General features: G+C 45.5%; 1 protein-coding gene across 4 annotated transcripts in view, besides 2 other annotated features; it reads right to left on the bottom strand.

Moving 5' to 3' along the window:
* Window positions 1–12,818, bottom strand: part of TANGO6 (transport and golgi organization 6 homolog) — a 241,652-nt gene that overhangs the window by 106,010 nt on the left and 122,824 nt on the right. For all 4 annotated transcript variants that reach the window (NM_024562.2, XM_047434632.1, XM_047434633.1 and 1 more), the window contains one exon: window positions 5,005–5,145. In NM_024562.2, the coding sequence (NP_078838.1) occupies window positions 5,005–5,145 (141 nt within the window). The remainder of the gene's footprint in view (window positions 1–5,004; window positions 5,146–12,818) is intronic.
* Window positions 951–1,451: an enhancer, noted in NCBI's record as "H3K4me1 hESC enhancer chr16:69011625-69012125 (GRCh37/hg19 assembly coordinates)". NCBI's record gives its function as "activates a minimal SCP1, AML or CMV promoter by ChIP-STARR-seq in primed H9 embryonic stem cells {active_cell/tissue: H9 hESC(primed)}" and the evidence as "EXISTENCE:reporter gene assay evidence [ECO:0000049][PMID:30033119]".
* Window positions 6,166–6,666: an enhancer, noted in NCBI's record as "NANOG-H3K27ac hESC enhancer chr16:69006410-69006910 (GRCh37/hg19 assembly coordinates)". NCBI's record gives its function as "activates a minimal SCP1, AML or CMV promoter by ChIP-STARR-seq in naive H9 embryonic stem cells {active_cell/tissue: H9 hESC(naive)}" and the evidence as "EXISTENCE:reporter gene assay evidence [ECO:0000049][PMID:30033119]".

The following is a 12,818-nucleotide window of genomic DNA, read 5'->3' as shown; positions in this document are numbered from 1 at the left end:
GAGGTGGGAGGATCACTTGAGCCCAGGGGGTCGGGATCAGCCTGGGGAACACAGCGAGACCCCCATCTCTATAAAAAATTTAATAAATAGCCAGGTATGGTGGCGCACACCTGTGGTCCTAGCTACTTGGGAAGCTGAGGGAGGCAGATCAGACTGACAGGCCAAGGATGCAGTAAGCCATGATCGCACCACTGCATTCCAGCCTGGGCAACAGAACGAGACCCTGTCTCAAAAAAAAAAAAAAAAATCATATACTTTATATACTTTACTGTATATATGTATTACCTCAATTTTTTTTTAATGGAAAGAAAAAAAGCTCCTGCTGATTTTGCACTATGATCTAGTGGCAGGAAGACAAGTAGGTGTGGCTAGGGAACTAGCATGATGTGGAGAGGTAACATAGTGTACTGCACCCTGCTCCCACGGGTGGGCCGCATTCTCCCACCAACTCCCACCACTGCAGAGAAGAGGTAGGGGTGGGGAGAGAGCAAGGCCTAGGCTGAGGGAACTAGGGGACTTATTAGAGAAGCTTTACCAAGTGGCTATTCACAGCATTTCCACAACACTAGAAAACAAAGAATATTGGCTATGTTGTCAAATTGGGCTTTAATGTTATTCAAAGGATTTCAACACACCACTTCATCTATGCACCAGGACAAGTTGATGATGTGAAACAGAAACTAGCAGTTAAAGCTAAGGCTATGTTTACAGTTGGACACTCTGAAGAGTAGGCTACAGAAAGAAGGGAACTTTGAGAATTAGTGGAATTTGCTTTGAAATGCCAGAAGGCTGTTTTGGAAATTGGGCTAATTATAAGACTATGTAAGGAGGAGTAAGGCCTCACCTCAACTCTATCCAGCCTTTCATCCCCACCTCCACTTTCACCCCAGGAAATGATTTGGACTGGCCAATGGGGACTCTGAAATATGTACTTTTAGTGTTTATCATCCCAAAGGTAGCGGTCTACCAGAGAAAATACATGTTACGTTGATGTTGTCTATGTATGGTTTATATTCTTCTCAGCTCTGATAATCCCAGTGGTACACCCTTCACACCTACTATGAGAGAATGATTTATTATAATGGTGTACTTGTCTGGCATGTTTTAGATCCAAATTCAGAACTAAGGCAAATATAGAAAGTTCATCTTTCTTCTTAGAAAAAAATGTATTTTTAAATTTCACTCTCAGCTGGGTGCAGTGGCTCACACCTGTAATTCAAGCACTGTGGGAGGCCAAGGCAGGCGGATCACCTGAGGTCAGGAGTTCGAGACCGGCCTGTCCAACATGGTGAAACCCTGTCTCTACTAAAAATACAAAAATTAGCCGGGCGTGGTGGTGTGGGCCTGTGGTCCCAGCTACTCGGGAGGCTGAGGCAGGAGAATCGCTTGAACCCAGGAGGCAGAGGCTGCAGTGAGCTAAGATGGCACCACTGGACTCCAGTCTGGGTGACTCCATCTCTTTTTTTTTTTGAGACGGAATCTGGCTCTGTTGCCAGGCTGGCGTTGCAGTGGTGAAATCCCAGCTCACTGCAACCTCTGCCTCCCGGGTTCAAGAGATTCTCCTGCCTCAGCCTCCTGAGTAGCTGGGACTACAAGCACGTGCCACCACGCCCAGCTAATTTTGTATTTTTAGTAGAGACAGGGTTTCACCATGTTGGCCAGGATGGTCTCGATCTCTTGATCGTCGTCTCGGTCTCATGATCCGCCCGCCTTGGCCTCCCAAAGTGCTGGGATTACAGGCGTGAGCCACCACGCCTGGCTAAGACTCCATCTCAAAAAAACAAAAAAAATTAAATAAATAAATAAATAAATTTCACTCTCTGTGACATGAATCCATTGGTCAGAAAAGAAAAAAAAAAACAAAAACAAAATAAATTTCACTCTCAAGTAATTCTCCTTTCACTGATACAAGGATTTAAGTGGTTGGAGACCTAGGTTCTATCATCCTTAGCCAGAACAGTCACCTAGAAATTAGGAAAATTAAGGGCTATGTCCATACAAACAGTGCATGGCTATATGGAATTTCTATAAATCCTCTGAAGTGCTGATGAAGGAGGGATTCAGTGTGATCTCCTGATGCAAGTGGCAAAAAGATACCCCACCTCCACTTTGTTCTCCAAAATCTTCCCCTACCAGATAAAGAGTAAAATTTACAAGTTTTACTATAGCTCACAGACAAATTGCCCAAGCTGAAGTTAAGATTATATCTTCTTTTTCTGCCTTAGATAATAGGCTAGTGAGTATATAATGGAATTACTAAAAAGCCAAGGACAAATACAGCAGTACCTAAGAAGTGCTGATATAACTTAAAGAATAAAAGAAGTGTGGCACTGTTATTAAGCCAAATATTAACCACCAACAGCTATACTTTATAACACAATCTGATATAGGCCATGCATGACAAGAACACAGCCCTAAAACGGAACCTCATTCTCAAAATTCAATATGGCCGCTAGCTGGCTCAAATGGATACTGTACACCACTGGCTCTCACCTGTATGATTGATTTGCCTTATTTTAAGGCTTCTAGTGATATTCAGTGTGACAGCTAATGGTTAAGTCTATGGAGCACAGGTTAAATAAATGAATCTTCTCTCAATTCTATGTTATATAGCCCAGTATAAAAATATTCAAAGTGTACTTGCTGGCTTATGGAGAAATTCATCTTAATTTAACCTCTCTCTTCAGAATGAACTATTGTTTTCTTTGTCCTTGTTCCCTAGGGTCCCACCTCCTAGCTTCATATGAGCACTCAATAAACAGCAAAAAATATTTGTTTTCCTTCATTTTTAATCTTTAAAAAATGTTTAAATCTTTTTTGCGTAGGCAAAAATAAAATTTTACTGAGCCCTTATTGTATGCCAAATAACACTGTAAGAATCACCTTATTTAATCTTTACAACAGACCTATGAGTTAAGTGTTATTAATATCCTCATTCTGGCTGGGTGCAGCGGCTCATGCCTGTAATCTCAGCACTTTGTGAAGCCAAGGTGGGAAGACTGCTTGAGGCCAGGAGTTCAAGACCAGGCTGGGCAACATGGTAAAACCCCATCTCTACAAAAATACAAAAATTAGCCAGGTGTGGTGGCATGTACCTCTAGTCCCAGCTATTCAAGAGGCTGAAGTAGAAGGATACCTTGAGCGTAAGAGGTCAAGGCTGCAGTGAGCCATGACCGTGCCAATGAACTCCAATGTGGGCAACAGAGGGAGACACTGTTGCAAAAATAACAACAACAACAACAAAAACCAAACCCATAATATCATCATTTCACACATTAGAACACTCAGGCACCCAAGGTTAAGAAACATTCCCCTCAGCTGGGCACGATGGCGCACACCTGTAATCCCAGCACTTTGGGAGGCAGAGACAGGAGGATTGCTTGAGCCCAGGAGTTTGAGACCAGCCTGGGCAACATAGTGAGACCTTGCCTCTACAAAAAATAGAAAATTAACTGGGCATGGTGGCATATGCCTGTAGTCCCAGCTATGTGGGAGGCTGAGGAGGGAGGATAACTTGAGTCCAGGAGGTTCAGGCTGCAGTAAGCCATGAATGCACCACTGCTCTCCAGCCTGGGTGACTGAGTAAGACCCTGTCTTGAAAAAAACAAAAAAAAAAGAAAAGAAAGAAACATTTCCCTGATCACACAGCCAATAAGATGCAGAATGGCTCATGCTTATAATCCCAGCACTTTGGGAGGCTGAGGTGGGAGGATTGCTTGAGTCCACGAGTTTGAGACTAGCCTGAAAACATAGTGAGACCCCAACTCTACCATGAAAAAAAAAAAAGCGCGGCAGTTCAGGATTTGAAGTGAGGCAGTGTAAGTCTAGAGCCTATCCCTTAACTACTATTGTCAGCTTATACAGCCTAGAGTAACTTCCTTCAAGTTGGTGGTTCAGTTCTCAGCACTATCACTTACCAGCTGAATGAGTCTTGGACAAATTGCTGAAAATGTTTGAGCTACAGTTTCTTCATCTGTAAAACAGGTTTAGTAACAGCCTGTTTACAAGATTTGTTGGGGAATTAGATGAGATTATATATATGGACAACCTGGCATGCAGTAGACATTCAGCAAGAGTCAGCACTCTTCCTTCCCTGCTTGACATTCCTATTCTTTATTTCTGAGTCTCGCTCTATTGCCCAGGCTGGAGTGCAGTGGTACAATCATTGCTCACTGCAGCCTCGACCTCCCAGGCTCAGGTGATCCTCCCACCTCAGCCTCCTGAGTAGCTGGGACTACAGGTGTGTGCCACCAATCCTGGCTAATTTTTGGTAGAGATGGGGTTTTGCCATGTTACCCAGGCTGGACTTGAACTCCTGCCAGGCCTAAAGTGATCCTCCCAAAGCGCTGAGATTACAGGTGTGAGCCATGGTGCCCAGCTGACATTCCTCTTCTTTTTGTGCTTGCTGCTGCTCAAGTGTGAGACTTCTAATTCCAGCTCCATTGAAAATCAGGGCCCAACACAGCTCCCAGGGAAGGAGACTAAGCAGTTTTTTTTGTTGTTGTTATTTTTGAGATGGAATCTCATTTTGTCGCCCAGGCTGGAGCACAGTGGCGCGATCTCGACTCACCACAACCTCTGCCTCCCAGGTTCAAGCGATTCTCCTGACTTAACCTCCCGAGTAGTGGGATTACAGGCGTACACCACCACGCCCAGCTAATTTTTGTATTTTTAGTAGAGACAGGGTTTCACCATGTGGACCAGGCTGGTCTTGAACTCCTGACCTCAGGTGATCCACCTGCCTCGGCCTCCCAAAGTGCTGGGATTACAGGCAGGAGCCACCGCACCTGGCGAGAGACTAAGCAGGTTTAAGAAAAAGGACATTGTTGCTTTCAGTCTCATAGTAGACATCGGAATATTTCCTAAATTCCTAAATGGGTACATCCCAGCCCTCAAACTACCCTCACCACACTAGTGTAACAAGCCCCCAGGTACACACATTTTGGTTTCAAAGTCACACTGATCCTCCACCCTTTTCCAGGTGGATGGAACAAGAAAACTCACCTAATGCCCTGACGATTCGCATAAGGACTTCCCCGACTTTCATTCTGGTCTCTGGTGTGTGCTTGTCTTTGCTGCTGTCATATTGAGCCAACAAGTCCGGCAAGATTTTCTCAGGATAGACGTCTGACAGCAGGGCAACCCCTGGGGTTGAAAACAAAAAGAAAGGATTCATTACTGTTTACGATCAAAAGGCAAATAAACCAGTCACCCTGTGATGGGATGAACGCAGAGATGCTGAAAACCATCTCTAAAGCTCTCCCAGCAAGGGCTGCCTATTGTTTGGAGAGTCAGCATAGTGAGTGGAACGAAGATGGGCCTGGTAGTTGAGACTCCTGTGTTTGTCTAGTCCCAGCCTGATACGATCTCTAAGGTCACTCCCAGCACTGACGTTCTATGATCCAGGCAATGCCTCCTGCCTTTGCTGCAGTTCTCCATTCCTGTATAATTTCCCTCTGTGGAACTGCCAGTGATGGGAGCAGTTTCCACAAGGAAACATTTTCAGAGCATCCTGGACATGATCAATATTAGATCTAAGCTCATGGCTGAGTTTCCTAATCAACAGAAATAGGGAAGACCCTGACCCTGAGTCCCCCCTTCGTAGGACTTGCTGATCCTCTCTCCTATCCACAGCAGCGCCTTCTAAATGTGTAGCCTGGAACAGTGTTATCATAATCTGAGCCCAGCCCCATACTCAGCAACCTTTTTAGGGGTGGCAGGGAGGTGAGAGATGACCAGACAGATCCAGAACAAAACCCCTGGTTGGCCTCAAAACTATATAACTACAAATTCTACCATTCATGTCTATACTGTTGTTTATTCCTATTTTCTCTCATTAGTCTTTAGCAGAGAACAGGAAAAAGATTACACACTATAAAGAACAGTGACGAAAAAGAAAAAAAGTAAAGAAGGAATAAGTAGAAATAGGGGTTCCAGGATGAGAACCCACTTCTACCCCAAGCACCCTGGCCCATCAACTCTGCTTTGGGTTTCTCCAATAATCCCCTCATTGGTCTCCCTGCTTCTACCTTTTTCATCCATTGCAGATGGAGCTATTTGGTTTGAATCATAAGTCTGGCCCCTTCATGCTTCTGCCCAGACCCCTCAGTGGTTTCCCTTCTTCCCTGAATATGAGCAGTCCCCATCCCCCGCCTTCCTTTGTTCTCTCTCTGATCTCATCTTTTAACACTCTCCCTTGCTTCCTGGCCTCCTTGCTATTCTCCAGTAGGCCAAGTGATCCTGGCTCGGAGGAGTCGGCCTCACTTCCCCTCTGCATCTGCTGCTGCTCCTCCTGGTGGCCTCACAGCTTGCTCCCAAACCCTATCATGTCTCTGCTCACAGATCACATTTGTCACATATAAAACGGCACCCTCCTTCCCCTGCCACTCTTTACTCCTCTCACCCTGCTTCATTTGTCTTAGCACTTAATATCACCTGACAGGTTGTGTATTTCCTTATTGTCTGCTCTCCTCCTTGGAATGTGAACTCTATAATAAAGTCAAGGATTTTCTTTTGTTCCCTGCTGTATCCCCAATGCCTAGAAGAGTCCTAGCACATGTCAGGTGCTCAGTAACTACCTGCTAAATGAATGAATGGATGAATGGATGGATGAGTAAACAGGATTCAAATATACAGTCCTGATATAAATTTCAGGAATTAAGAAAGAGAGGATGGGGAAGAAGTAATATAAATGCTTGAGAAATCTATACTTATTTTTCATCTAAATTTACCATTCTCGTGTTTAAACTGACAGCCTTGCAGGCAAAGTCTACGTGCAGTTTTTTATGTTATAGGTTGTGATTCCATTCTCTTCTAAATCACATCCACACTCTTCACTGGCCTTATCCGCCGCATCTGCTGAGCTGTGAAGGCGGAGCACCTGCTGAGGGCTGCACCTGTCTGCCCATCCTCCTTTCTGCCCTCCCCACCCCCATCTTTTCTTGCTTCCAAAGAGCCTGGGAAATCTCTGCATGTGGTCCTAAGCCTGCACCTCTGCATGTGGTCCTAAACCACACCTCCAATCCAGAGTCCATCTTAGGACTTCAGTCCTAAGATGGGCTCTAATCTTATGCAAGCAGAAGCTCTGCTCTTAAGAGAGATTCAGGCTGTGGCACAACACTGTTGCCAAAATGTGACACTGTAGTTGTAGTTCACTCTATTATATAAAATGATGAAGAAGTCCTTGGAGGTTCAACACGGAGTTATGGAATATTGTAGCATAGAAAAAAATGTCTGCATCGGCTGGGCGCAGTGGCTCACGCGTGTAATCCCAACATTTTGGGAGGCCGAGGTGGGTGGATCACTTGAGGTCAGGAGTTCAAGATCAGTCTGGCCAACATGGTGAAACCCCGTCTCTACTAAAAATACAAAAAGTTAGCTGGGCGTGGTATCGGGCACCTGTAATCCCAGTTACTCAGGAGGCTGAGGCAGGAGAATCGCTTGAACCCCAGAGGAAGAGGCTGCAGTGAGCCGAGATCACACCATTGCACTCCAGCCTAGGCAACAATAGTGAAACTCTGTCTCAAAAAAAAGAAAAAAAGAAAAAAATGTCTGAGGCCTAAGGGTAAATGAATTGTTTGCTAAGAGAAAGAAGAGGGGGCTAGGTGCAGTGGCTCACACCTGTAATCCCAGCACTTTGGGAGGCTGAGGTGGGAGGATCACTTGAGGCCAGGAGTTTGAGACCAGTCTGGGCAACATAGGGAGACCCCATCTCTATAAAAATAATTTTAAAAAAATTAGCCAGGTGTGGTGATGTGTGCCTGTAGTCCTAGCTACTCGGAGGCCGAGGCAGGAGGATTGCTTGAGCCCACAAGTTCTAGGCCGCAGTAAGCTATGATTGCAGCATTGCACTCCAGCTGGGTGACAGTGAGGTCTCAAAAAAAGAAAAACAGAAATAGCCTCCAACTTCTAAAAGACCTCCACAACTGCAATTCTGGCAGGTGTTATATCACTGATATATTACAAGGCCTGGTATATATTACAGATTTGCAGCTATCATAACTTTCTTTTTTTTTTTTTTTTGAGATGGAGTCTCGCTCTGTCACCCAACTGGAGTGCAATGGCTTGATCTCGGCTCACTGCAACTTCCACCTCCCGGTTCAAGCAATTCTCCTGCCTCGGCCTCCCAGGTAGCTGGGATTACAGGTGCCTGCCACTATGCCTGGCTAATTTTTGTATTTTTGGTAGAGACGGGGTTTCACCGTGTTGGCCAGGCTGATCTCGAACTCCTGAGGTGATCCGCCCTCCTCGGCCTCCCAAAGTGCTGGGATTACAGGCGTGAGCCACTGCGCCCGGCCCATAGCTACTTTCTAAAATCAGAAGTTCTCAACTCAGAAAATCTGGTGGGTGTTTCCTTTTAGGAATGTAGTCATGACTTTGCAATGGAAAACAGTGGAAAAATGGGATTTGCTTTATAAAACTTTGATCTATTTCTAGCTTTTCTGAAACCTATTACTAAAGTCCCTCTTACTGTTGTTTAACATAGTCTTTTTTTTTTTTTTTTTTGAGACGAAGTTTTGTTCTTGTTGCCCAGGCTGGAGTACAATGGCGTGATCTCAGCTCACTGCAACCTCCATCTCCCGGGTTCAAGTGATTCTCCTGCCTCAGCCTCCTGAGTAGCTGGGATTACAGACATGTGCCACCATGCCCAGCTAATTTTATATTTTTAGTAGAGACAGGGTTTCTCCATGTTGGTCAGGCTGGTCTCAAACTCCTGACCTCAGGTGATCCACCTGCCTCGGCCTCCCAAAGTGCTGGGATTAAAGGCATGAGCCACCGTGCCGGGCCCTTACTGTTGTTTATTCCTATTTTCTCTCATTAGTCTTTAGCAGAGAACAGTCATTTACTTCTGTGAACATACTATCCTGGCCAAATGAGCTCTGGACTTCCTCTCTGTAGTGGGCAGACATGTGATTACACCTAGCATCTACTCTCTCTTCTGGTAACAACACCACCATGGTGTTCTTTTGGAGAAATATCCCTTTCTTACTCTCAGTCTGTGTGGTTTGAGTGGGCTAACTATACCCACTTTCTCCCCCTCCAGGTGTGAACTTGTATCCCAGGCTGGCCAGTTAGGATCTTCCATTCCATCCCCACCACCATGACTGGTTCAGGAACAGGGAATGAGATTCGATCCTGAAACCCACATTGACACTACTGGGAAAGATAAATTCCCCTCCCCACCACCCATTGAAGAGACTAATCTGGAGCTGCCAGTGGCCACCATGTGGAAAAAGCCCACACAAGAATGACACCAACACAGAGGGAGAGCCAGCCTGAGAGGGAGGGAGAAGAAGAAGAAGAGACCCGATGGCATCTTTTCAGCTCCGGGACCCAGGTGTACTCCACCCACTCGACTTTCTGGATAGAAAAGCCAATAAACACCCTCTAATGCTCATGCCAGTTGGACTGTTTTTCAATTAAAATAATCCTAACACACCCTTTTTCTGGTTAACAATGATTTTTCAGATTTTTTTTTTTTTTGCTTTTCCTATAATGCTAAACTTTAAACTCATTAGGGAGCTTTTAGTTCTCCCAATCTTCCATAAAAAGGTTCCCAAAGCAAAGCCCAGTTTCCTTGCTTCCCACAGTCCCAGATCTAATAGCAATTGTTTATCTTCCTGCTGGCCTGTTCCACAGACGGCTGCCAAATGGCTGGCTGTTTGAGTTTTACCTTCTAGGATACAGGTGCCACCTATGAGTTTATAAATCCCTGGAGAATAACAGCAGTTCCCCCTTTACCCACCAAGCAGTGAAGAGAGTCATACATGATGGTTAAGACTGTATAAAAATGAAAGGGATGAGATTTTGTGTGCTTGTTTTTATTTATTTCGAAAAAACTTTCTGTACTTAGACACTCTGTGGAAGCACGGCCATAACCTTCACATGACCATGGGCCCATCACACTTGATAATTCCTTTGTGACTTGAAAATGGGGTAATTTCTGGGTCAGCACAAGATTCAAGAAAACATCACACATCAATCCCTTTGGTAATGAGACCCAAAGGATTGTGTGAGAGAGACCTCTTTCTGCTCTGACCGTAGGAAACTAGCTATGCATTTTAGGATGTGGTGCAACAGATGAGATATAGAGAAGGTAAAAGTGAATCCAAACTGGGAAGAGTTCACAGACGCATTCTGAACTTTTTTTGGAGGCAGTGCGTAGAATATTGGTGAATTAACGTAACTAAAAAAATGTTAGGTGGCCAGGCGCGGTGGCTCATGCCTGTAATCCCAGCACTTTGGGAGGCCGAGGCGGGCGGATCACAAGGTCAGGAGATCGAGACCATCCTGGCTAACCCAGTGAAACCCCGTTTCTACTAAAAATACAAAAAATTAGCTGGGCGTGGTAGTGGGTGCCTGTAGTCCCAGCTACTCGGGAGGCTGAGGCAGGAGAATGGCGTGAACCCGGGAGGTGGAGCTTGCAGTGAGCCGAGATCATGCCACTGCACTCCAGCCTGGGCGACAGAGCAAGACTCCGTCTCAAAAAAAAAAAAAAAAAAATGCTAGGCTGGGTGCAGTGGCTCACGCCTGTAATCCCAGCACTTTGAGAGGCCGAGGCGGGTGGACCACCTGAGGTCAGGAGTTCGAGACCAGCCTGACCAACATGGTGAAACCCCCCTCTCTACTAAATACAAAAAATTAGCTGAGTGTGGTAGCAGGTGCCTGTAATCACAGCTACTTGGGAGGCTGAGACAGGAGAATCACTTGAACCCGGGAGGTGGAGGTTTCAGTAAGCCAAGATTGCACCATTGCACTCCAACCTGGGAAACAAGAGTGAAAACTCCATCTCACCAAAAAAAAAAAAAAGGCCAGGTGCGGTAGCTGACATCTGTAATCCCAGCACTTTGGGAAGCTGAGGTGGGTGGATCACGAAGTCAGGAATTTGAGACCAGCCTGGCCAATATGGTGAAACCCTGTCTCTACTAAAAATACAAAAATTAGCTGGGCGTGGTGGCGTGCGCCTGTAGTCCCAGCTATTCGGGAGGCTGAGGCAGGAGAATCTCTTGAATCCAGGAGGTGGAGGTTGCATTGAACCGAGATGGCGCCACTGCACTTCAGCCTGGGCGACAGAGTGAGACTCTGTCTCAAAAAAAAAAATGTTATTACGATAACTACATGTAACAAAACAGACTGTCAACTTTGTAAAATAACTGTTTTTTTTTCTTCCCCCAAGACTTCCCTGAAAGCCACACACATATTTTGAGCAAAACAGTGTTGACTTCAAGATGATCCCACAGCGTGTTACTCAGTGATTCTGAGTAGCAAAAGGAGTTTGGGTGTCGTGTACTTTTACTTAGTACTCTTGCATTAACAGGGAAGTCAGTCTAATTCTAAAATGTCTTTGCTAACTGGCTCTATCCCAGGGAACTGCTAAGCCATTCCTACCTCAAAACTAACCTGCCTCATTTCTCCTGGGCAGATAACAACTTCCCAAAATACCCACAGCAACCCGGAAAACCACCTACTCACTTGAAACTCACAGATATTTCTGCCAACAAAACTACAAGAAACACAAAAACCCACACATTGTATAATTCCATTGAAATGAAATGTCCAGAATAGGCAAATCTCTACATAGGAAAAGTAGATTTAGTGGTTACCTAGGGCTGTGGTAGTTTGAGAAAGCAGGGAGTGACTGCTAATAGTTACGAAATTTCTTTCTGGGGTGATAACAACATTCTAAAACAGGGGTCCCCAACCCCCAGGTTGCAGACTGTTACCGGGCATGGCCTGTTAGGAACGGGACCACACAGCAGGAGGTGAGCAGCAAGGGAGCATTATTGCCTGAGCTCTGCCTTCTGTCAGATCATTGGAGGCAACGGATACTCCCAGGAGTGTGAACCCTATTGTGAACTGCACATGCAAGGGATCTAGGTTGTGTGCTCCTTATGAGAATGGAAAGTCTGATGATCTGAGGTGGAACAGTTTCATCCTGAAACCATCCCCGCCCTCCCAACACCGTCCCGTCCATGGAAATATTGTCTTCCATGAAACCAGTCCCTGGTGCCCAAAAGGTTGGGGGCCATTGTTCTAAAATTCCAGCCTGGGCAACACAGCCAGACCCCATCTCTACAAAAATTTAAAAAATTAGCCAGATAGGCTGGGCACAGCGGCTCACACCTGTAATCCCAGCACTTCGGGAGGCTGAAGTAGGTGGATCACTTGCAGTCAGGGGTTTGAGACCAGCCTGGCCAACGTGGCAAAACCCCGTCTCTACTAAAAATACAAAAATTAGCAGGGCATGGTGGTGCATACGTGTATTCCCAGCTACTTGGGAGGCTGAGGCAAGAAAATTGCTTGAACCCAGAGGGCAGATGTTACAGTGAGCTGAGATCATGCCACTGCACTCCAGCCTGAGTGACAGAGCGAGACTGTCTCAAAAAAAAAAAAAAAAAAAAATTAGCCAGACATGGTGGTGCATGCCTCTAGTCCTAACTACTTGAGAGGCTGAGGCAAGTTGGTCACTTGAGCCCAGTAATTCAAGGTTTAGTGAGCTAGCACAACACCACCACACTCAAGCCTTTGTGACAAAGGGAGACCCTGTCTCAAAATTTTAAAAACTTCTAAAGTTGACTGTGGTGATGGTTACACACTCTGAAAATATACTAAAAACCAGTGCATTGTTTATTTCATTATTTATTTATTTATTTTATTTTATTTTTTTTTGAGATGGAGTCTCACATTGTTGCCCAGGCTGGCGTGCAGTGGTGTAATCTCAGCTCACTGCAACCTCTGCCTCCCGGATTCAAATGATTCTCCTGTCTCAGCCTCCCAAGTAGCTGGGACTATAGGCACGCACCACCACACTCGGCTAA

This window comes from Homo sapiens, chromosome 16, assembly GCF_000001405.40.
Source record: "Homo sapiens chromosome 16, GRCh38.p14 Primary Assembly".
NCBI classification, from domain to species: domain Eukaryota; kingdom Metazoa; phylum Chordata; class Mammalia; order Primates; family Hominidae; genus Homo; species Homo sapiens.
This window is presented reverse-complemented; position numbering and strand designations above follow the sequence as displayed.